This window comes from Homo sapiens, chromosome 9 (assembly GCF_000001405.40).
Source record: "Homo sapiens chromosome 9, GRCh38.p14 Primary Assembly".
In the NCBI taxonomy this organism is placed as follows: Eukaryota; Metazoa; Chordata; class Mammalia; order Primates; family Hominidae; genus Homo; species Homo sapiens.
Window position 1 is genome coordinate 112,109,246 of NC_000009.12, and position 22,534 is coordinate 112,131,779.

General features: G+C 43.9%; 1 protein-coding gene across 15 annotated transcripts in view, besides 1 other annotated feature; it reads right to left on the reverse strand.

Annotated features, from left to right (window-relative positions):
* The window catches only part of SUSD1 (sushi domain containing 1), a 134,515-nt gene that overhangs the window by 68,463 nt on the left and 43,518 nt on the right, over positions 1-22,534 (reverse strand). For all 15 annotated transcript variants that reach the window (XR_007061338.1, XR_007061340.1, XR_007061339.1 and 12 more), the window contains 3 exons: positions 15,012-15,191; positions 3,526-3,623; positions 2,409-2,595 (listed from right to left, as the gene is read on the reverse strand). Coding sequence is in view for 11 of the 15 variants with exons in the window: in XM_047423727.1 (XP_047279683.1) it covers positions 2,409-2,595; positions 3,526-3,623; positions 15,012-15,191 (465 nt within the window). In the remaining 4 variants the exon portion in view is untranslated. The remainder of the gene's footprint in view (positions 1-2,408; positions 2,596-3,525; positions 3,624-15,011; positions 15,192-22,534) is intronic.
* Positions 11,249-11,820: an enhancer, noted in NCBI's record as "OCT4-NANOG hESC enhancer chr9:114882774-114883345 (GRCh37/hg19 assembly coordinates)". NCBI's record gives its function as "activates a minimal SCP1, AML or CMV promoter by ChIP-STARR-seq in naive and primed H9 embryonic stem cells {active_cell/tissue: H9 hESC(naive and primed)}" and the evidence as "EXISTENCE:reporter gene assay evidence [ECO:0000049][PMID:30033119]".

A 22,534-nucleotide genomic window follows, 5' to 3' on the forward strand; every position in this document is an offset into this window, starting at 1 on the left:
ACTTTAAAAGAAGGGAATAATTCAAACATGATATAAAGTATTCCAGAGGGAAAAACAATGGAAAACTTCCCAATTCATTTTAAGGAAAATAGCATAACTCCAATAATGAAATCAGACAACAGAATGTCCAGGATCTAGAGGAAAAAAATGACAAGTCTTTATAACAGTGCATAAATAAACAGAAGACCTGAGTAGACACTGAGTAAATGTGGAAACATACCTTGCTCCCAGTTAGGATGGCTCAACATAAATCCTAATTCTCTCTAGATTAACTTGCAAATATAATCCAATTCCCTTTAGTCCAGAGACATTAAATAACTCAGCCATGATCAGCCAACTCTTCAATACAGAGTTAAGATGCAAAACCGGATCTGCCTGACTCCAAAGACCATGTTTTTCCCAAGGGAAAGGAACTTGAACAGGTAATTGGATATTAGTAAAAACAGCTGACGCCAAACAGCAACCTGTCATCCTCACTGAACAGTGGCAGGTGAGTGATGATCTTTTAAAGACATTTCCCTATAGTAGTTTACTAATAATTTTGTAAGACTTCTCTGATTAGTTACCATATTAATTTTATAATATCTTTGCCTGCATATTATTTACTTGCAAAGAATTAATTTTGTTTTATTTATATACAAATGTCAAGAGACCTAATTTGTATAATCTCATAGTTGGTTTTATATTGTTAAGATTGGCAGACTTTTTCAACTATTTCTGCTGAACTATTCCCAGCTACTCGGGTTAAGGTACAGTTTCAGTGGGATAGCAAACAGCTAATTAAGAACTTTCTCAACTCCCCCAAAATAATAAATGACATCGGCCAGCTGTGGTGGTTCACGCCTATAATCCCAGCACTTTGGGAGGCTGAGATGGGCAGATCACTTGAGGTCAGGAGTTTAAGACCAGCCTGGCCAATAAGGTGAAACTCAGTCTCTACTAAAAATACAAAAAATAGCCAGGCACGGTCGTGGATGCCTGTAATCCCAGCTACTCAGAAGGCTGAGGCAGGAGAATTGCTTGAACCTAGGAAGCAAAGATTGCAGTGAGCTGAGATCGCACCACTGCACTCCAGCCTGGGCGACAGGGCAAGACTCCATCTCAAAAAATAAATAAATGACATCAATTACTTGTCAAGGTTTGTCTACCGGGTTTTTTGTTTGTTTTCTGAGACAGGGTCTTGCCCCGTCACCCAGGTTGGAGTGCAGTGGCATGATCATAGCTCACTGCAGCCTTGAACAAGTGATCCTCTCGCCTCAGCCACCCGAGTAACTGGGACTATAGGCATGCACCATCACACCAAGCTAAATTTTCTTTCTTTTTTTTTTTTGTAGAGATGGGGCCTCACTGTGTTGCTCAGGTTGACCTCAAACTCCTGGCCTCAAGCAATCCTCCTCAGCCTCCCAAAGTGCAGGGATTACAGACATGAGTCACCGTGCCCCACCTGTCTACAAGGTATTTAATTAGTCCTCATACCCATAACCAGAGCTTTTTTTTTTTAACTTACTGTAATTGTCACAATGTTGTTAAAAACCCACATGACAATTATGTAAAATGAGGTTTATTTCTACTTCTTAAAGCTCCTTCATTCCACTCCTTTTTTCAGCTAACACCTACCCTCCTGCACCCTAGGGGTGCCCCTGCTTCCACTTCCCCACTCTCAACTTGATCTCTTTAAAGCTGCTGGGTCAGCCTCCCTGGCACCTCCTCTTTCACACGCAAGAGCAAGAAATGGCTTTTTGGTTTTTTTGGGTTTTTTTTGAGACAGAGTCTTGCCCTGTTGCCCAGGCAGGAGTGCAGTGGTGCAATCTCGGTTCACTCACTGCAACTTCTGCCCCCTGGGTTCAAGTGATTCTTGTGCCTCAGCCTCCCGAGTTGCTGGGACTACAGGTGTGTGCCACCACACCCAGCTAAGTTTTTCTATTTTCAGTAGAGATAAGGTTTTGCCATGTTGGCCAGGCTGGTCTGGAACTCCTGACCTCAAGTGATCTGCCCACTTCAGCCTCCCAAAGTGCTGGGATTATAGGCGTGAGCCACCACACCTGGCCAGAAATGACTTTTGAGTTTACTACCAAAGATAAGCCACATGGCTACCCTCTGTTGCCTTGGATATTTGAGAGTGGACTGATCATCATTTAAAAGGCATTCCTTTTAAATGCCTTTTTATTACTTTCCACCTCTCCCGGAGGGCTCAGCTGAGAAAAAATACCCCAGAGCCCATTCAGCCTGGTACCAAGAGGATACGGATCTCTTGACCTGCTCTAGTTCTGTGGCTGGAGCAACTACATCTGAGTATAAATCTCAGACAGCAAATAGGAGCTCTCCAGCCCAGCTGATTCTGCAGCATACTTCCCCACATTCTGTGCTTAGCATTTTCTAGGAGGAAATGAGACTTCACCTCCACCTACCAGCTGTCTGGAAACCGATGACGGCTGGCATCGAGCGCCTGGGAGGTGCTGTGGAGATGTTCACGGTGTAGTTGGTGCCTGGGTACAGGGCTAGGCACACTTCTGGGGTCCTGCTGTCTGTGGTCAAGTTGACTGTCTCCTCACGAACTGATTCCATAGGGTCCAACCGTTGTCCTTTTATGGATATCTTTGAGAGGAAAAGACAAGAGAACCCACTCTGACTCCAGTCAAAACAATCCAGGATTTGTGGTGCTGGAGCCCATTCTCCTACTATTCTATTTTATACTGTGCTGCTCAGCCAGGGAGCATTCGTAAGGTAAACCTGGTCTGCTGATAAAGTCTGATCAGCCCAGTGAATATTAAACCCCTAGAGGAGACATAAATGAGAAATCTCCCTAGGAAGTGCTCTCCTGCACACAAATGATCAAATGGAGACAATTGCAACCTGAGGACCATTGGCTGCACTCTGTCACCAAGTCAGCAGACGCTCCCGGGCTTGCTCTGGGGGAGTGAAATACAAGTGCTTGGAAACAAGCAATCGTGAGGATGCCAAATATAAATGCATCCCCCACACATGCACCCTGCTGAATGACAAATATGTTAAACACAAAATGCAAAATAACGAAATCATCCAGATATCTTCAAAAATTCCATCCACTCTTTTTAAATGACAATGGGATCAGAAAGCAATTAGATTGAGGCCAGGCGCGGTGGCTCATGCCTATAATCCCAGCACTCTGGGAGGCCGAGGTAGGTGGATTATCTGAGGTCAGAAGTTCAAGACCAGCCTGGCCAACGTGGTGAAACCCCATCTCTACTGAAAATACAAAAAATTAGCCAAGCATGGTAGTGCACACCTCTAATCCCAGCTACTCAGGAGGCTGAGGCAGGAGAATCGCTTGAACCCGGGAGGCTGAGGTTGCAGTGAGCCAAGATCCCACCACTGCACTCCAGCCTGGGCAACAGAGTGAGACTGTCTCACAAAAAAAATAAAAGAAAAAAAGAAAAAAAAACAGCAATTAGATTGAGAAGCTCTCACGGAAGCAAGTCCCTCTGACTCATATTCCCATGGGTGACGTGTCTGTCCTAGCAGGAAAAAGTAGATCACTTTACTTACCACATATGAGATCTTGGGGTTTATTCTTCTTGAGTTTATTTGCCATCTCACACAGGTATCATTAAACAGTGATACATCATTAATCTTTGTCAGAATTTCTAAAAGAGAAAAAGGCAGTCAACTCACAAAATGCATCAATGGGCTTTAGCAAAATTCTAAAGGAGATCAGTCTCTCTGCATAGCTGGTATCTCTGCTGGTCACCATTCATCCTCAGAGGCAGACACTGAGTCAGGCAATGCAAGCTCTCCCAAGCCAATCACCCAACTTCTCTTCATCATGAATGAGCGTGGCCCATTACCTGACTTAGAGGGAAAGGAAAGATTCCAGCTTGGATATAGGTCAGAATTCTAACCTGTGATTCACCTGACAGGCCACTGGATGCCACTGGCATTCCACTCTGGTAGAATGGAATGAGGCCCAGAGCTGGGTCCTCAGTGAGACCTTCCCTGCAACTGCACAGGTAAGACCTACTTCCACCTTTCTCTTCCCAGCAGAATGATGGGAAACTCCTTCAAGTCACTGCTATCCCCAGGGGGAAAATGACATGTCTCACCACACAGGACCATGCCTCAGAAACAGGTTGGGGCAAACTAAAGAAATTCTCCACAAGGTTCCTAGGTACTTCTGGGACTCCTGTAACTGAAGCTATTTAATCCTGGTCTATCAGGATGCCACTGATTCCTCTGGGTTGTTCTGCTTCTTTTAAATATTCTGCATATATTCCAGCTAATGAATTCAGCAATGTGGGAAACCATATGAAGGCCTTGGTTCCCTGAGGTAACATAGTTTTCAGCATTCCCAGTCAACCCGCAAGTGGTTGTGCAGACAGGAAGAACGAAAGGGGATCTAGCTTTTTATTTCTTTGAAATCAAATTCCCAGCCGAGTGCAGTGGCTCACACCTGTAATCTCAGCACTTTGGGAGGCCAAGGTTGGCGGATTACCTGAGCTCAGAAGTTTGAGACCAGCCTGGCCAACATAGTGAAACCCCATCTCTACTAAAAATACAAAACTTAGCGGTGCACGGTGGCACATGCCTGTAATCTCAACTACCTGGGAGGCTGAGGCAGGAGAATCACTTGAACCTGGGAGGCAGAGGTTGCAGTGAGCTGAGATTGCACCACTGCACTCCAGCCTGGGTGACGGAGCAAAACTCCATCTCAAAAGTAATAAAATAAAATAAAATAAACTTCCTACAGACAAGTAAAACTATCTCTACTTGCAAATGATACAATCTTATATACTTCTATATATAAAACTCTAAGGAATCCACACCAAAACAAGTATTACAGCTGAGAAAGGAGGTCAGTGAGGTTGCGGGATACAAGGTCAATGTACAAAAATCTATTGTATTTCTATATACTAGCAATGAGCAGTCCAAAGATGAAATTAAGAAAACAATTTCATTTACAATACTATCAAAAACAAACAGGCCTGGTGCAATAGCTCACGCCTGTAATCACAGCACTTTGGGAGGCCAAGGCAGGTTGGTCACCTGAAGTCAGGAGTTCAAGACCAGCCTGGCTAACATGGCAAAACCCCGTCTCTACTAAAAATACAAAAATTAGCTGGGCATGGTGGTGCATGCCTGTAGTCCCAGCTACTTGGGAGGCTGAGGCAGGAGAATCACTTGAACCTGGGAGGCAGAGGTGGCAGTGAGCCAAGATCCTGCCACTGCACTCCAGCCTGGGTGACAGAGTGAGACTCCATCTCAAAAACAAAAACAAAAACAAACAAACAAAATTCCTGCAGACAGAAGCTATCATATAATTATTCCCAGAGAAAGTTGTCCTCATGTCACCAAAAAGGGATATTCCACAGCCCCAGCTCAAGCTTTCCCATTGAAGCAGACACCTCTTAAGAACTCCTCAGCCTCTCTCAGCTTCCCCTGCTCCTTGTCCCATCCCTGGATGGGTTTTGACAACATGACCAGGTCTTGCCTCCTATTCTGGGACTTCCCTGCTGCAGCACCCACACCCCAGCACATGCCATCTGGAAGTGCAGGGGAGTTAAAATCCTGTGGGGACAGGAGCTGGTAGAGAAATCCTTCCTCCTTTCTTTCCTCTGAAGGGCTGTCCAACAAAGACTTAGTTTCTTCAGCGTCTAAGGACACTGTCACACAGATGTGGTAATGCCCACCCTCTGTGGAGACCAGTACAATCAGGCATCATACGCTGACTCTCCTTCTTTCCCTGTTTTACTGCCCTTGTTTCCCACTCCTGGTGCCTGGGATTTGATTCTCTACTGCATAATAAATATAAACCCAGTGAAAGGCTCCCATCTAAGAAGAGTGAGAAAGCTATTTCTCCATGTCAGAAAATGACTCTCCACAACTCAGCTCCCGTTTCTCCCTTCTAGTAAATCTCTTCGCAGTCTCCAAGTGCAAAAGGAAGCCTGCACCTTAGGTACCTGTAGGGCCAATCCTATTCTCCTGTACTCAGAACCAATGCTAGCTTTGGATTGACCCAGATCTACTGACCTCTCTGCCCAAAGAAGAGTTTATATCTTTACTAAATCATCCCTTCAGCAGCAATGCCTAGATTCTGTGTCCCACATGACCTGGTCTTGGGTAAGCCCAAGTTATCTATTAGCAAGTGAAAATCAATGGAGGCAGAGAGGGAAAAATAGGCAAACTCCTGCCGAGATACCAGAAAGGCCACCTATGGCTGTCTGCAGCATTCCTGGATCTCTATATCAGTATTTCTCCCTAGAACACACACAATTTGAAATCAAAGAAATACTCCAATTGTGGGCCAAGTGGGTGCGGTGGCTCACGCCTGTAATCCTAGCACTTTGCGGGGCTGAGATGGGCATATCACTTGAGGTCAGGAGTTTGAGACCAGCCTGGGCAACATGGTGAAACCGCATCTCTACTAAAAATACAAAAAAATTAGCCAAGCGTGGTGGTACATACCTATAATTCCAGCTACTTGGGAGACTGAGGCACGAGAACTGCTTGAACCTGGGAGGCAGAGGTTGCAGTGAGCCAAGATTGTGCCACTGCACTGCAGCCTGGGCGGCAGAATGAGACTCCATTGCAAAAAAAAAAAAAAAGAAAAAAAAAAGAAAAGAAATACTCCAATTATGAGCATGGGTACCCTAAGAGACACAATGACCTTCAGTTCGCCCCCTTGGGTAGCATAAAGATGATGTTGGTACCAGTCTTTTATCAGCCTGAACAAGCCCCAGATATTTCTGGCCTCTACCCTCTTTGCTGCCCTTCAAAGCCCCAGAGCTCTTGGCATCTCTGCTCACTTACACATCCCTTTGATGCTAACTCACCACCTGGTCCAGAAAGAAAAGGCACCAGCCCAGCCCTCATCTTCTCTCTGAGTTGCCAGCAAAGCGAATTTCCTTTTTACTCTCAGTTCCTTTGTCATCGAAGCAGAGATTAGAAAGGAGTTTTCTTTCTTGTCCTTCCTTCTTGCTCATTCACTATGACAACTGTAAATGGCATCTCAAAGATGCCATCTGCCTCCAGCCTGTGCCATGCTCTCTGCACAGATGGGACCCAGATCCAATTATAGGGGTGTCAGATATTTCATCCCAGGGAGCAGTTTAACAAAGTTTGGTTGCTTTTCCCTCCAGGTGCCTACAAATTAGTTGGAAAGACTCCTTTATAAAAGAATCAGATATTCAACATCTACATTAATGCTGCCCTTTTAATGGAGACTATATGCCCTCATTCCAATAGTGCTGATAACTGAAAACATTTCTGGAAGTCCTCTTTGGAGCTGTCCCAGGGCTCTTTCATTCCCTGCTCACTACTAACTGAATGGCTATCAAATGCCAAGCATCCTGCCATGCCAGGCACTGGGCTGTGACGATGTTATCTGCTGACTATGTAGGGAAAAAGTACTCTTGAAAGTCATAGATCTGTGAATGTTAGTTGAAGGTATGGGTGCAGGTGAGATATGCAGGTAGGACAGAGACAGTGAATGGCCCAATGGCAGAACACTGGGAAACACTGAAACCCAGGGGGGAACCAGAGGAAAAAGGCAATGCAGAAGAGAGGCAGGAGGCTGGTAGAGTGACTGATGTCTAGGAAGGAAAGGAAGGACTTGAAAGAGTGTCTCTCAGCCTTCCAAGGCCAGGCACAGTGGCTGACACCTGTAATCTCAGCACTTTGAGAGGCCGAGGCAGACGGATTACTTGAGGCCAGGAGTTCAAGACCAGCCTGGCCAACATGGCAAAAACATGTCTCTACTAAAAATAGAGAAATTAGCCAGGTGTGGTGGTGCACACCTGTAATCCCAGCTACTCAAGAGGCCGAGGCACGAGAATCACTTGAACTTGGGAGGCGGAGGTTGCAGTGAGCTGAGATCGTGCCACTGCACTCCAGCCTGGGTGATACAACAAGACTCTGTCCCTAAAAAATAAAAATAAATTCTTTTAAGAAAATTATCAGCCTTCTTTCCCACCAGTCTCCCACAGCCTCCTCATCCCCTAGCCAAGAAGGGCCTGGAGCAGGTCAAGGCAGAGGGTGCAAACTCCATCTCCCTCTCTCCTCTCACATGGCTTTTCTCCCCTCATGGAGTGCCCACGGCATCAGGATTAGATCTGTGGTTTGACTTTGGGTAGAGGTGGGAAGAGCAGGCCCTCAGCCTGCCCAGTTGTAGAACACAGAGGCCTCTCTGGCTTAAAAGAAGGAGGCCCCCACAGTGTCCAGCTGAAGTCTCACTGGATTTGGGGAGAGAAAGTCTCAGTGAGTGATAAAGTAAGAGCCTTTGTTTTGCTTTACTCTATGTGTGTGTGTGTACACACAGGTACATATATATGTTATGTATATATAGATATAGATGTACATAATGTTATGTATTTTGGTATTTTGTTAGCATCTAGTATTTCTGTATGTGGTACTTAACACACTTGTAACTAAATACGTAAGTCATTATATAATGACCACCTCTCCTGAATGTAACTTTACGATGGCAAAGACCATGTTTCTCTCTCTATCCTCAGGCCCTAGCACAGTGCCTTAAATATAGATACTAAAAACTATGTATTATTTGGTTGAACTGGTTGAATGGATGGATAAAGGATCAACAATGCTAAATGTTGTGGAAAGGTTGAGAAGAATGACAGCTGAAACTGGAACATGAAATTGGCAGTTAGGTAGTCATCAGTCACCTTGGTGAGATGCTACAGTGAAGTGGGGGTGTTCGATGCCTGGTTTCCCCCCAGTAGGCTGAGAAGAGCATAGGAGGGGAGGGAATAAGACAGTGAGCCCAGACTACTCTTTCAGAAGTCCCACTGTGCAAGGACAGGGGCTGGTCTAGTGTACTCCCTTGGTTTCCAATTTTATATCCTTTTTCTTTATTTTTGGAAACAGCAAAAGGTCATAGAGAATAAATCCAGGTGACCCAAACAGATGGTCAAGCAAGCTCAGCATCATTTCTAGTCAAAACAGCATCTGATTTCAAAAGGAATGTAACTGATCTTCTAATACGGCTCATAAACTACCTCCAAAGGACATTATCAAATAGGATTCCAAGGCAAACACATGATGATAATGGCAGCACCACAGAAATCAGGGTATGGCTTCCCACAGTGCCTACTTGAATAAATGTATGTTTGGCTATAAAAGTTTTCATGTGTTTCCTTTCTTTCTTTGAAGTCTTAGATTCACATAAAATAAGTAGGAGTAGCATGGCTTAGAGTACGTTAGTGTAAAATATATTGCACACTTTGGGATGATTTTTGGTGGCACGCGAATACTTTTTTTCTTTTTTGGAGACGGAGTCTTGCGCTGTAGCCCAGGATGGAGTGCAGTGGCATGTTCTCAGCTGACTGCAACCTCCGCCTCCTGAGTTCAAGTGATCCTCCAGCCTCAGCCTCCCGAGTAGCTGGGACTACAGACGCGTGCCACCACACCCAGCTAATTTTTGTATCTTTAGTAGAGACGGGGTTTCACCATGTTGGCCAGGCTGGTCTCAAATTCCTGACCTCAGGTGATCCACCCTTCTCGGCCTCCCAAAGTGCTGGGATTACAGGCGTGAGCCACCGCGCCCAGCCAGGAATACATTTTTATCTGTTCGTTATGTATCAGTTTTTGTGTATATCAGAAAAATACACCTACTTCATCAAACTCATGAGATCACATATATTGTCCTTAATAAATTTGAATTATAAATTTAAGGTTAGGTTGTTTAAGGAAACACTCTAAGTAAATAATACTCTTATTATGGCAAACATTGTGTCAGGGTGGTATACAAATAATTCAAGCTTGGAAGACACTGATGTAGGAGAAAGAATGTGGTCTTTCTGGGCTTACAGGCCTCAGTTCAAATCCTGGCTCTACCATTTGCTAATTATTGAGTGACCATGTAAAAGTCACTTAACCTTTATGAGTCTCAGATTACTTATCTATGAAATGAAAATAACAAAGCTTACTTCAAAAGGGTTTTAAGAGGATGAAATGAAATCGAGCATTAAGGTCCCTAGCTGAGCCCTGGGTGTGTACGTTCATGCTCAGCCAGCAGTAGCTATAATGCTTGATGGTCCAAACCTCATTCACATATTCCAATACATCCGGCCATGTGGCTATTTATGTAAATGTATCCATTTATTCCGGCTGACCTTTCTGTTCCATCTGAAATGTGTGTGGCTGCAACTGAGCACCCAGTGGGCTGGAGAAGAGGGTCACCAGCCAAACAGAAGGGACAGAGGCCAACAGGAGTCCTGGAGGCATCAGAGCAGTGCCCAGAGCAGTTTAGAGGCACAGAAAGGATCCTAGCGATAAACAGCCTCTGTTCCAGCAGAGATGTTACCCTTCTGAGAGCGTGGAGTGAGTGAGCGTCAGCCTTATAATCATTAACTCAGATTCTAAACATGAAAAGCCAAATGGCCTGTGCAGAATGGAAGCCAGGGAAAGTCTTATCAAGAATGAATCAGTCTCTTTGATCTTGAGGTAAACCGACTCATTAACATCAAGCTTCCACCTGGGGTTTTTCCAGACACGAAAGTGATTGCCTAATTCCCAGCTGTCTGGAGTTTCCAGTCCAAACTGGCCTGGCGGGGAAGGAGGGGGCAGGAAAAAATAAGTCCCACCAGCTTGATAGAGCTCACACCCCATTAAAAGCACATACGATTTGTGCTACTAATCCCAAAGACTAGTGGCTTCCTTACAAACAACCCAGGTAAAGATAAATTATTCTACCCAGTTTGGAACTAAACAGGAAGATGAACAGTGAAAACAGGACAGAGGTAGGAGGCATTCAGAGAGAAGCAGAAAAGTAGAAAAAGATGAGAGGGGAAGCCAAACGTGAACACGAAGACAGGGAAATATAAAATACACAGAGGCAGGAGGATGGCTTGAGGCTAGCAGTTTGAGACCGGCCTGGGCAACATAGTGAGACACCCGTCTCTACAAAAAACATTTTTAAAATTTAGCCATGCGTGGTGGGTCATGTCTGTAGTCCCAGCTGCTTGGGAGGCTGAGGCAGAAGGATCGCTTGAGCCCAGGAGTTGGAGGCTGTGGTGAGCTGTGATCACTGCACTTCAACCTGGGTGACAGAGTGAGACTCCATCTCCAACAACAACAACAAAATACACAGAGACAGTTGGGATGAGGGGAGTGAAGAAATAGGTAACAAGTGAAAAACAGGGAAAAGAAAAAAGAAGAGGGGTAGCTGAGCAAGAGCCATGGTAATCAGCAGCTCTCACTACATTACCAGAAGCCTCTCCTACCTACCCACCCAGAGATCATCTGCACTGTACCATGAATTAATCAGCATGTAAATCATCCCCTTTATCTGCGGAAATTGAATTTAGCTGCCAATCCTGATTGAGGGCATAAAGGCCTCCTCACAGAAAGATCACAGCTCTCAGGGAGAATGCCTTTTCTTTTCTTAAATCAAAGCTTGCATAAACCCATGGAAACAGCTGCAGCTGGAGCCACAGACTTTGTGAAAGGTAGCAGGCTGAGGATGGTAATTATAATTAGCAGTTACATAACATGTTTGTTCTTCAAAGTGCTCTACAAGCATCAGCTAATTAATAGCTTACTATGCCCCATGCAGATCCACTGGTTTTTCATGCGGTGACTAATTCTTATACCCCCATTGACTGCTGAATGTTGGAGGCAGAGCAGCTTGAGCAATGAAGCAAATGGCTGAGGCTCACAAGCTATACCCAGCTCTTACCAAGTGACTCCAGCAGTTGTTCTGTGTCGGGAATACTTCCCCAAACATTGAATTCAGCATTCCAGGAGGCAGCTACCTCACCTCCTCCAAATAACTCTTGGAGATGCTTTTGCAAATGCCATGATAGGTTGGAGTGACCATCAGTCTAGTCCAGCGTGGCATTAGCTCCAATTATTAAGACTGGACCCCCCTAGAGTCTTTGGTGTCAGTTACACGTTTGCCCTTGCTCCTCTGTGCAGGCTGGGCAAGTCAATGAGACCTCTCTAAGAGAAGACTGCATTGTATCTCTGGGTTCTTATCCAGCTCTACCCTTCTTTGTTTTTCTGATTGCAGTCTCTGGCCTACATCCTCTTGAATTCGCGATGGAGATAACCAAATATAGGAATTGCATGGCACATACAGGGCCTCAACAGCAGAGGTGAGCTTTCCATCTATCCCAAGAATGCTTTACTCAAGGATTTCAGAGGTCCAGGAACACCTTGCTACTTGTAAAACATTATATGTGTATGTGTATGTGCATACCTTTGGGGAAAAGGTCTGTTTCCCCTGTTGCACTGTAAATTCCAAGAGGGTCATGCCGACAAAGTACCTGACAAATAGTGTATGCTAAATAGATATCTATTGAATGAATGGACAGATTTCCTCAAATTCCCATCCCCAACATCGTTATGAACCACTGCTCTATGGACAAATAATCCCCAGGGGCCTACATGTCTTGTTTGCTCTGGCCAGAATTTCCGATGGAAAATGTTGGTGGGCAAGACCACAATTCTGCTGCTAGTCAAACCAGAGACCCAGATCAAAGCTCCTGGAGATTTCACTCTTCAGAGACCTGTCTTCAGAGCCAAGCAAGTCAACAGCCAGAAATATATTCCCAGGGACTATGTGACAACCATTTGTCATACCTTCTGATCAACCACCACAAATGGTAAGAATCATTGCCTTTTCTCACCTTGTTCCTCAGAGGCAGAGGTGTGAAATGAATCATGTAGAAGTACACGCTTCTGATTCATGAGAAGATCTTCACATGAGGCTAACAACTTTAGGAAAAAGACTAACATGTGCATGGTGCTTTCAGCTTTCTAAAATGCGCCCCACAGATTATCTTATTCGATTCCTTTTCAACACTCTCTGAGGTAAGAAAAACAGACTTTATTTCCCTCTTTTATAGATGAGGAAACCGAGGCTCAGAATGCCTGGCCTAATGACACACAGCTAATATATGGCATTGCTAGAATATGAAGTGAAGTCTCAAAACTCCTTTTTTAATTGAGACAGAGTCTCGCTCTATCCCCCAGGCTGGAGTACAGGGATGTGATCTTGGCTTACGACTGTCTCCTGGGTTCAAGCAATTCTCCTGCATCAGCCACCTGAGTACTGGGGACTACAGGTGTGCACCGCCACACCTGGCAAATTTTTAATTTTTTGTAGAGATGGGGTCTCTCTATGTCACCCAGGCTGGTCTTGAACTCCTGGGCTCAAGCAATCCTCCTGCCTTGGCCTCTCAAAGTGCTGGGATTACAGGTGTGAGCCACTGCACCCGGCTAATTTTTGTATTTTTAGTAGACATGGGGTTTCATCATGTTGGCCAGGCTGGTCTTGAACTCCTGACCTCAAGTGATCCACTGCCTCAGCCTCCCAAAGTACAGAGATTACAGGTATGAGCCATTGCACCAGGCCTCAAGACTCCTTTTCACCAGCAATTCCACTTCTGGATATATATCCAAAAGAATTGAAAACAGGGTCTCAAAGAGAGATTTGTACACACATTTCATAGCAGCATTATTCATCATAGCCAAAAGATGGAACACACACCCAAGTGTCCATCAACAAATGAATGGATAAACAAAACATGGGATACTCATATAATGGACTATATGAAGAATGGAAATGTTGACACATGTTACAACATGGATGTATCTTAAAGACATTATGCTTAGTGAAATAAGCCAGTCTCAAATGAACAAGTACCATATGAGATACCTACAGTAGTGAAATTCACAAGAGACAGAAAGTAGAAGGGTGAGGTTCCAGGGGCTGTGGGGAGGGGCAAATGGGGAGTTGTTGTTTAATGGGTATAAAGTTTCAGTTTTGCAAGATGAAAAAGTTCTGGAGATTGGTTGTGCAACAAGATTGGTATACATAAACACTACTGAACTGCACACTTAAAAATAGTTAAGATGGTGTATTCATCAGTTTCATGTTGCTATAAAGGAATACCTGAGACTAGGTAATTTATAAAGAAAAGAGGTTTATCCAGCTCATGGTTCTGCAGGCTGTACAAGAAGCATGGCACCAGCATCTGCTTCAGGTGAGGGCCCTGGGAAGTTGACAATCGTGGCAGAAGGTGAAGAGGGAGCAGGCATGTCACACAGCAAGAGAGGGAGCCAGAAAGAGAGAAGGAGGTGCCAGGTTCCTTTTAACAATCAGCTCTCATGTGAACTAAGAGCAAGAACTCATCACCAAGGGGAGGACACAAAGCCATTCCTGAGTGATCTACCCCCATGACCCAAACACTTCCCACCAGGCCCCACCTCCAACACTGGAGACCACATTTCTCATGAGATATGGAGGAGACAAACATCCAAACTATATTAGATGGTAAGCCAGGCATGGTGGCTCACACCTGTAATCCCAGCACTTTAGGAGGCCTAGGCAGGCAGATCACTTGAGACCTGGAGTTCGAGACCAGCCTGGGCAACATGGTGAAACCCCATCTCTACTAAAAATGCAAAAATTAGCTGGGCATGGTGGTGGGCACCTGTATTCCCAGCTACTCGGGAGGCTGAGGCAGGCGAATCACTTGGTCACTGCAACCCAGGAGGTGGAGGTTGCAGTGAGCTGAGATCGTGCCAGTGCACTCCAGCCAGGGTGACAGAGCAAGACTCCATCTCAAAAAAAGAAATAAAACTATATTAGATGTTAAATTGTATGTTTTTTGTGTGTTAACACAATTAAGAAACATTAAAAAACTATTTTTCGTCATACCACCTTTTCTCTGAAAAGCGGTCAACAGGTGTTAAGTTAGGAGCATGCCCCTCTGAGAAAATGGTTCATGGAGAAAAATGTCTCAGACAGTCAAGCAGAGGGGACAGGAATCACAGCGATTTAAGGTGGGTCTCAAAAGATGGATGCATAACATTTTCTATCCAACTTATTTTTCCAATCCACCTTCTAAATCTTCAGGATTTAGCTGACAAATCTAAAGCCAGGTGCACAACCAGGTAAATAGCCGAGCTGGGTACAGTATGTAGAGTGAAGCAGCAATCAGATAGTTTTAGGCCCTCGGCTCCCACTGGCTGTTTTGTTCCTGGGTAGCAGGAGCCCAGAACAGAATCTGTACCTGTGCATGTTAAAGTACTTTCTCTCCAGGTGCCTTTCTCTGTGCAAACAGAAGTGATCTTTCCTCCAGGGCTCTCAAAGCCCTCTTGACAGACATAGCGAGCCACACCGCCCAGCCTGGAGCTGTGATTTCCTACCAAGATGGCGTGCCGCATTTCTGGAGGGTTGCCACAGTTGATCTCTGCAATGGGAACCAAGACAGCACTGGTTATAAGCCCTGACTTCCAGCCCTACAATTCATATCTTTAAAATAAATATTTAATAGTGATAGAGGCCACTCAAACAGGAAAAGAGAAAACACTAACCCCATCAAATAATCCAATATAAGTATGTCTGAATTTAATAAAATTTCCAAACATGCACACATAGAGAATAGTCAAACTATGCAATTATTTACTTATAAAGAATTCATTGATCTATGAAATAATATATCTTAGGGTCCTTCTAAATATTACAGTTCTCTAGTACATTTTACTATGTATCTTCAGATCATCAATCCCAGAGTAGATGATAACGCAATTGTAGCAATTATTGCCAACTGACTGTTAAATAGAAGATATTCAAAATCTCTGAACTTTTTAAAGCAAATTAATGGAGAAAGTATTTATCTCCTAAGGATTCAACTTATATGCATCTTTCAAAGAAAAAAATCAGTTGCATAGGAGGAGACAAACCCGGAATTACAAAATTGATACGAAATTTTTTTCTCTACAACTCTGACTACTAAAAGACAATTAAATATTTACAAAGAACTATCTACAGGTAAAAGATTATGACATAACCACTCTAGACCCAGCCAAACTATACTTCACTTAAGAGCCCAAGAAAGTCATTTTTAGATATTTCAGAATTTTAAAAAATCGATCCGTTTATCTTTTCTGGGAAAAAAAAATCGAAAAAATGAATCAGAACAAATATCGTAAGAATAAGTGTGCAGGGCAGACAGGTTTTACAGAAAACACCAAGGAACAATGAAATCAGCAAGATGTATGGATGTCTCCATAATCGTTTAAATGTGACTGTAGAGCTTGACATAACTATTAGTAAAGGATTCTAGAACTAAAAGTTGAACAATGTAAAATAATAATAAAAATAAATTTTCAAATTATTTCAATAAAACCAGAGCAGTGAGTTGAAGGGAAGAAGTAAAGCATACTAATGTTTCATGTCACACAATAGCACTCATGGATACAATGTTATTCAAGAAAGTATAATAACTATAAAATAAGATGGCTCTAATAATTTCAAGTGTCACCAATAGTCCCAGTTATACCTAAACGCAGAAAGAAAAAAAAAATCTGTTCTTCCATGGTCAGAGAAAAAAAAAGAAAGAAAAAAACTTGAGGCATTCATTCTGATTTGTGATTTTCTCCCCAATCCGTAGAAAGCCAAGAAAATTAAGCCCTCCTAACATCCAGGCTTTTTAAACAGAAGTCCTTTTATTGAGATAACAGCATTCAAACTAGAGAAAATCATATAACCTGTTTCCATATCCCCATCAGCCATCCTTGGCCTTAGAAATAGATGGCTTCTTTTAAATGAGCCTCTGATACAGAATGTGTGGATTTAATGCAACTGCACTCTTTTACATCCCATTATGGATGCTTGGGCTGTTGCAGGACTCCAGAGTTATTTCCAGGAGGGAGGTTTCCCAGAGCAGGATCTCATCTAATTTCCAACCCTGTCTATCTCTCATGTCCCATGTTTGCCCACAGAGCTTTGGTTCCCTTTTCATGCATATTCACCAGACACAAGACCCCTTGGCCCTCATCATGTTTTCCCAGCATCAAACCTTTAGACGTATTTAATGGCCCAAGGCATTCCAAGAATGAATATATTTGTGTGTACACAAGCAACCAACCAAAGAGATGGTTAATGTTTCATAAGACTGCCTAGTCACATTGTTGACATCTGAAACATCTTCTAATTTAAGACAGAGTTCAGTTACAGCAGGAAGTAGAGGGGACATCACTAAAGAGGTTGGAGGTATAGATTCATGTACACTGAAGGTGGAAGGTTAAAGTGCTCAGTGGAGAAGTCTGGGAGGGAACCCAGTGACAAGTCATTGGATTAGGAGAGAAGCACAAGTACAAAAGGGATAAAAGTACAAAAGATAACTAGATTGGCTTCCATCTTGGACGTGACCAAGAATAATGGAAGGCATGATGACTTTGGTTGGGACTGCAAGATTTTAAAAAAAAATTAATACCAAATATCACCCAATTGATAAGAAATCAGTAACTTGTTCTCTAGGGATTAAGGCTCAAAGGCTCAGGTGGATGCCCCTTTAGGAAGCAGCTTGGACCTGTGGCTCTGTGAGTTCCCCGTTAACAGAGCTATTCAAGTTGAACAATCCCTCAGCAAGAGACATTTAGAGAGGATTTCAGCACGGCTTGGATTAAACGCATGGTTCTAACAGCTATACGTCTGAATCCCCTGGGAAGCTTTAGAAAAACGCACGTGCTGGAGTCCCACACCCACCCAGAGATAACTCTTCTGATTCAGTAGTACTGAATTGGGCTCTTGGTATTCAAATTTCTACAAAGCTCCAAATTTCATTTTGGCGCACACCCTCAGCTGACAATCTGAATGAAATCCTGGTACAAATGGCTACCATTTGTCATCATATGCATTCCAACAGGATCCTAAGTATAAAGCATTAATAGTCAAAATACCCATCCATGTTAAGGGGTATTTTCCCCACTGTACAGGCAAAGACTGCTCAAAATGATAGAATGATACATCCAAAGTTACACAGGCAATTGTGGGATGGCCAGGAGTTTAAGGCATGTCAGTCATATTCTTTTCCCTACACCCACAGCTTCTCGAAAGTTGGCCGGGCACAGAGGCTCACACCTGTAATCCCAGCACTTTGGGAGGCCGAGGCAGGCAGATCACTTGAGACCAGGAGTTTGAGACCAGCCTGGCCAACATGGCAAAACCCCATCTCTACTAAAAATACAAAAATTACCCGGGCGTGGTGGCACATGCGCCTGTAATCCTACTACTCAGGAGACTGGGGCACAAGAATCACTTGAACCCATGAGGCAGAGGTTGCAGTGAGCTGAGATTGTGCTACTGCACTCCAGCCTGGCCAACAGAGTGAGACTCCATCTCAAAAAGAAAAAGAAAAATGCTGTTCCAACTCTGAAATTCTATAGTCCCCGTGCCTCCCATCTCAGCTTACTCTCCTCTGCTTTTGCACTCACACCTTCTTCTGCAGGTGCACTCTTTCACCCTCACACTGAGCAAAGTCCTTCCCCGTGCCTGATCTGCTCCATTACTAACAAAGGGATCCTGTCTTCCTCTGAACTTTTAAGATCTATGTTCATTCGTTTATTTATTCCTGTCTATTGAGTGCCTATTACATGCTAGTCATTATAGCAGTGAACAAAGTGGGTAAGATTTCTGCCCTCATGGAGCTTAGGGAGAGCCAATAGGCAAAAAATAACAATAATAATAAGTCAACACATAACTGTGATTGTGGCAAATGTTATATAGAAATAATAATAACAATTATTATTAAGTGATAGGATGGGGAAAACTTCCATTGTTGTTGTCGCTGTTGTTGTGATCTCACTCTATTGCCCAGGCTGGAGTGCAGTGGTGCCACCACAACTCACTGCAGCCTTGACCTCCTGGGCTCAAGAAATCCTTCCACCTCTGCCTCCCGAGGAGCTGGGACCACAGGCATGTACCACCATGCCCAGCTAATTTTTCAGTTTTTTGTAGAGACGGGGTCTCTCTGTATTGCCCAGGCTGGTCTCTTACTCTCGGACTCAAGCAATCTTACCGGCCTCAACTTCAAAAAAACTTTTTTTGTTTGTTTTTTGTTTATTTTTGTTTTTGTTTGTTTTGAGACAGTCTCACTCTGTTGCCCAGGCTGGAGTGCAGTGGCACGATCTCAGCTCATTGCAACCTCTGCCTCCCAGGTTCAAGTGATTCTCATGCCTCAGCCTCCCAAGTAGCTGGGACTACAGGCATGCACCACCACACCCAGCTAATTTTTTGTAGTTTTAGTAGAGATGGGGTTTTGCCATGTTGCCCAGGCTGATCTTGAACTCCTGAGCTCAAATGATCTGCCTGTCTCAGCCTCCCAAAGTGCTAGGATTATAGGCGTGAGCCACCATGCCCGGCCTACAATCTTTTTTTTTTTGAGATGAAGTCTCACTCTGTCACCCAGGCCGGAGTACAGTGGTGCAATCTCGGTTCACTGCAACCTCCGTCTCCTGGGTTCAAGCAATTCTCCTGCCTCAGCCTCCTGAGTAGCTGGGATTACAGGTGCCTGCAACCACGCCCAGCTAATTTAGTATTTTTAGTAGAGACAAGAGTTTCATCATGTTGGCCAGGTTAATCTTAAACTCCTGACCTCAAGTGATCCTCCCAGAAACACTTTTTAAATAGAGTAGTAGTTAGAATGATTTGATCTCTCTGAAGAAATGACACATACATTAAGACCTGAAGGATGGCAATGAGCAAGCCATGTTTGGGACCAAAGGAAGAATATTTCAATCAAACGAAAGAACCAATGCAAAGACCCTGAGATAAGAAAGCTCTTGGTGGGTTCCAAAAAGGGAAAAGCAACCTGCATGGCAGGAGCCTAGTTAGTGAGAGGGAGACTGGCATGAGATGAAGGTGGAGAAAAAAGCAGAGCCAAACCACACAGGGCCTTATAAATCTTGGGTTTTATTTTAAAAGCAACTGAAGCTCTTGTTGGGTTTTAAGTACGGGAATGAAAAATCTGATTTAGGTTTTTAAAAGACCACTTTGGCTGTTAGGTAGAGAAAGGTTGGGAGAAGAATAGGAATAAAAAAAGAGACATCAGCCAGGGTCTACAGCAGTAGTCCAACAGAGAGATGATAGGGTCTTGGATGGACTTCAGAGGGGATGGAAATGGAAGGAAGAGATGGATTTGTGATGTATTCTGGAAGCAGAACTGAATGTTCGTGGTGATAGTTTGGATGTGAGGGTGAGAAGGGGGGTGGAATAAAGACTATTACCTACACTTAGAGATATACGAAGTATAGAGTATTATCTGTTCTTTCTGTTGTTTCAGGGGATTTTGTTTTGTTTTGAGACAGGGCCTTACTCCTGTCGCCAAGGCTGGAGTGCAGTGGCACAATCACAGCTCACTGCAGCTTCAACCTCCTAGGCACAAGTGATCCTTCCAGCTCAACCTCCTAAGTAGCTGGGACCTCACACGTGCACAACCATATATGGCTAATTTTTGTATTTTTTGTAAATATGGGGTTTCACCATGTTGCCCAGGCTGGCCTCAAACTCCTGGGCTCATGAAATCTGCCCACTTCGCCCTCCCAAAGTGCTGGGATTACAGGCGTGAGCCATCACTCAGCCGAGTATTATCTATCCTTATACAAGCATTATCTATACTGTTCATATGACCTTTATTTCCTGCCTTGCAGATTTAGTGTCTTTTTATGAATACATGCCTTCCCGAATATATGGACAGTTCCTCAAGGACAGAGTCTTTGTCTTATAATTCTTGTACCTCCACAAGGTCCGCTTAAAATCGTATGTTTTACACCGTTGTTCATTGATAGCTTGCTACTACTTTATCACAGTTCAAGATGCAATAAATGCTGCTACGATATGCCAACAGCCCCTCAGGAAGAAACCAGACATCAGCAGATCATACGTCTAAATAACAGGACAGACATTACTTCCATATTTATTATCCAACACAGGTAATTCACACATACCAAACACCAAGTAGATGAGAGCTGAGAAAAAGCCCCACAAAAACCAGTATTAATCTTGTGCCAGGGAATTATAAGAAAGTTGTTCAGGCCTCAGTAATTTTAATAATAATAGCATTCAGCCAGGCATGGTGGCTCACGCCTGTAATCCCAACACTGGGAGACCAAGGCAGGAGGATTGCTTCAGCCCAGGAGTTCAAGACCAGCCTGGCAAACATGCTGAAACCCTGTCTCTACTAAAAATACAAAAATCAGTCAGGTGTGGTGGCGCATGCTTGTAATCCCAGCTACCTGGTAGGTTGAGGCAGGAGGATCGCTTGAACCTGGGAGGCAGAGGTTACAGTGAGCCAAGAATGCACCACTGCACTCCAGCTTGGGCAATAGAGCGAGACTCCATCTCAAAAATAAAAGAAGGGGAGGGGAAGGGAGGGAACGGGAGGGGAGGGGAAAGAGGAGAGAGGAGAGGGGAGAAGGAAAGGAGAGGGAGAGGAGAGGCAGAGGAGAGGGAAAGGAGAGGGAGAGGAGAAGGAAAGGAGAGGGAAGGAAAAGAAAGAAAAGAAAGGAAGGAAAGGAAGGAAAGAAAAGAAAGGAAAGAAAGGAAAGGAAAGGAGGAAGGAAGGAAAGGAAGGAAAGGAAAGGAAGGAAAGGAAAGGAAAGGAAAAGGAAGAAAGAGAGAGAGAATATAGCATTCATTGAAATACTCCCAAACACAAGGTAGTCTACCAGATATACACTACCTTATTTATTACAACAGAAAATCCTACAAAGTAGCCAGGCAAGGTGGCTTACGCCTGTAATCCCAGCACTTTGGAAAGCTGAGGAGGGCAGATCACTTTGAGCTCAGGAGTTCAAGAGCAGCCTGGGCAACATCTCTACAAAAAAAAAAAAAAAATACAATAACTAGCCAGGCATTGGTGGCTCATGCCTGTAGTCCCAGCTACTTGGGAGGCTGAGGTGGGAGAATCACTTGAGCCCAGGAGGTGGAAGCTGCAGTGAGCCAAGATCGCACTACTGCACTCCAACCTAAGTGACAGAGACCCTGTCCCAAAAACACAAAAACAAAAAACAAAAAAAGAAAATCCTTCAAGGTAGGTGGAAACTATATCTCATATAGTTTACAGATACAAAGATGGAGGCCCTAAGAGCTTAAGTCACATTCAAAGTCACACCATTCGTAAAAGAGCTGATATTCAAACTGTGGTTTGTATGACCTCAAAGTCCAGGTCCAGTAAATCTGGGCAGTTTCACCACGAAGGGCTCCACCTAGGCCCTGACTTGGTTCTCTAATCTTACAGGTTAGCTAAAACCTAAGGAGAAAACGTTGCCTGAATAAGCATTCAAGTCAGTCTGGAAGGGTTCGATGACAACGCCTCCTGCCCAATCTTGTCTCCAAGAGCTTTCCCAGAGCAAGAGAGCTGCTGGAAATAGATGTCTCTCTGTAGCTCTGTGACTCCCTGAAACCTTCTTGGGCCTGATGTTTAACCCTATGTATGACATTATAGTCTGGCCTGGGGCTTGCCTAGAACATGACCCTGTCACAGATATTCCCAGCTACTGCCACTTCTGCTCAGACCAAATGGCATCCAAGAAAATAGGTAGTTCCTACTAAGAAATACTCAAAAATCAATCCAACAGAGGCCACAGTGGGAAATAAAAATATAATCCTATTTAATACATAAAAAACCCCCAAAACTCTTACTATCACAAGGAAATAAACATTTAAAAGCAGTTCATACCCCCAAGGAAGAAAAAATAAGCAGTACAAATTTGCATTGCATATGCATAGGGGCATTCATTAAAGCACATG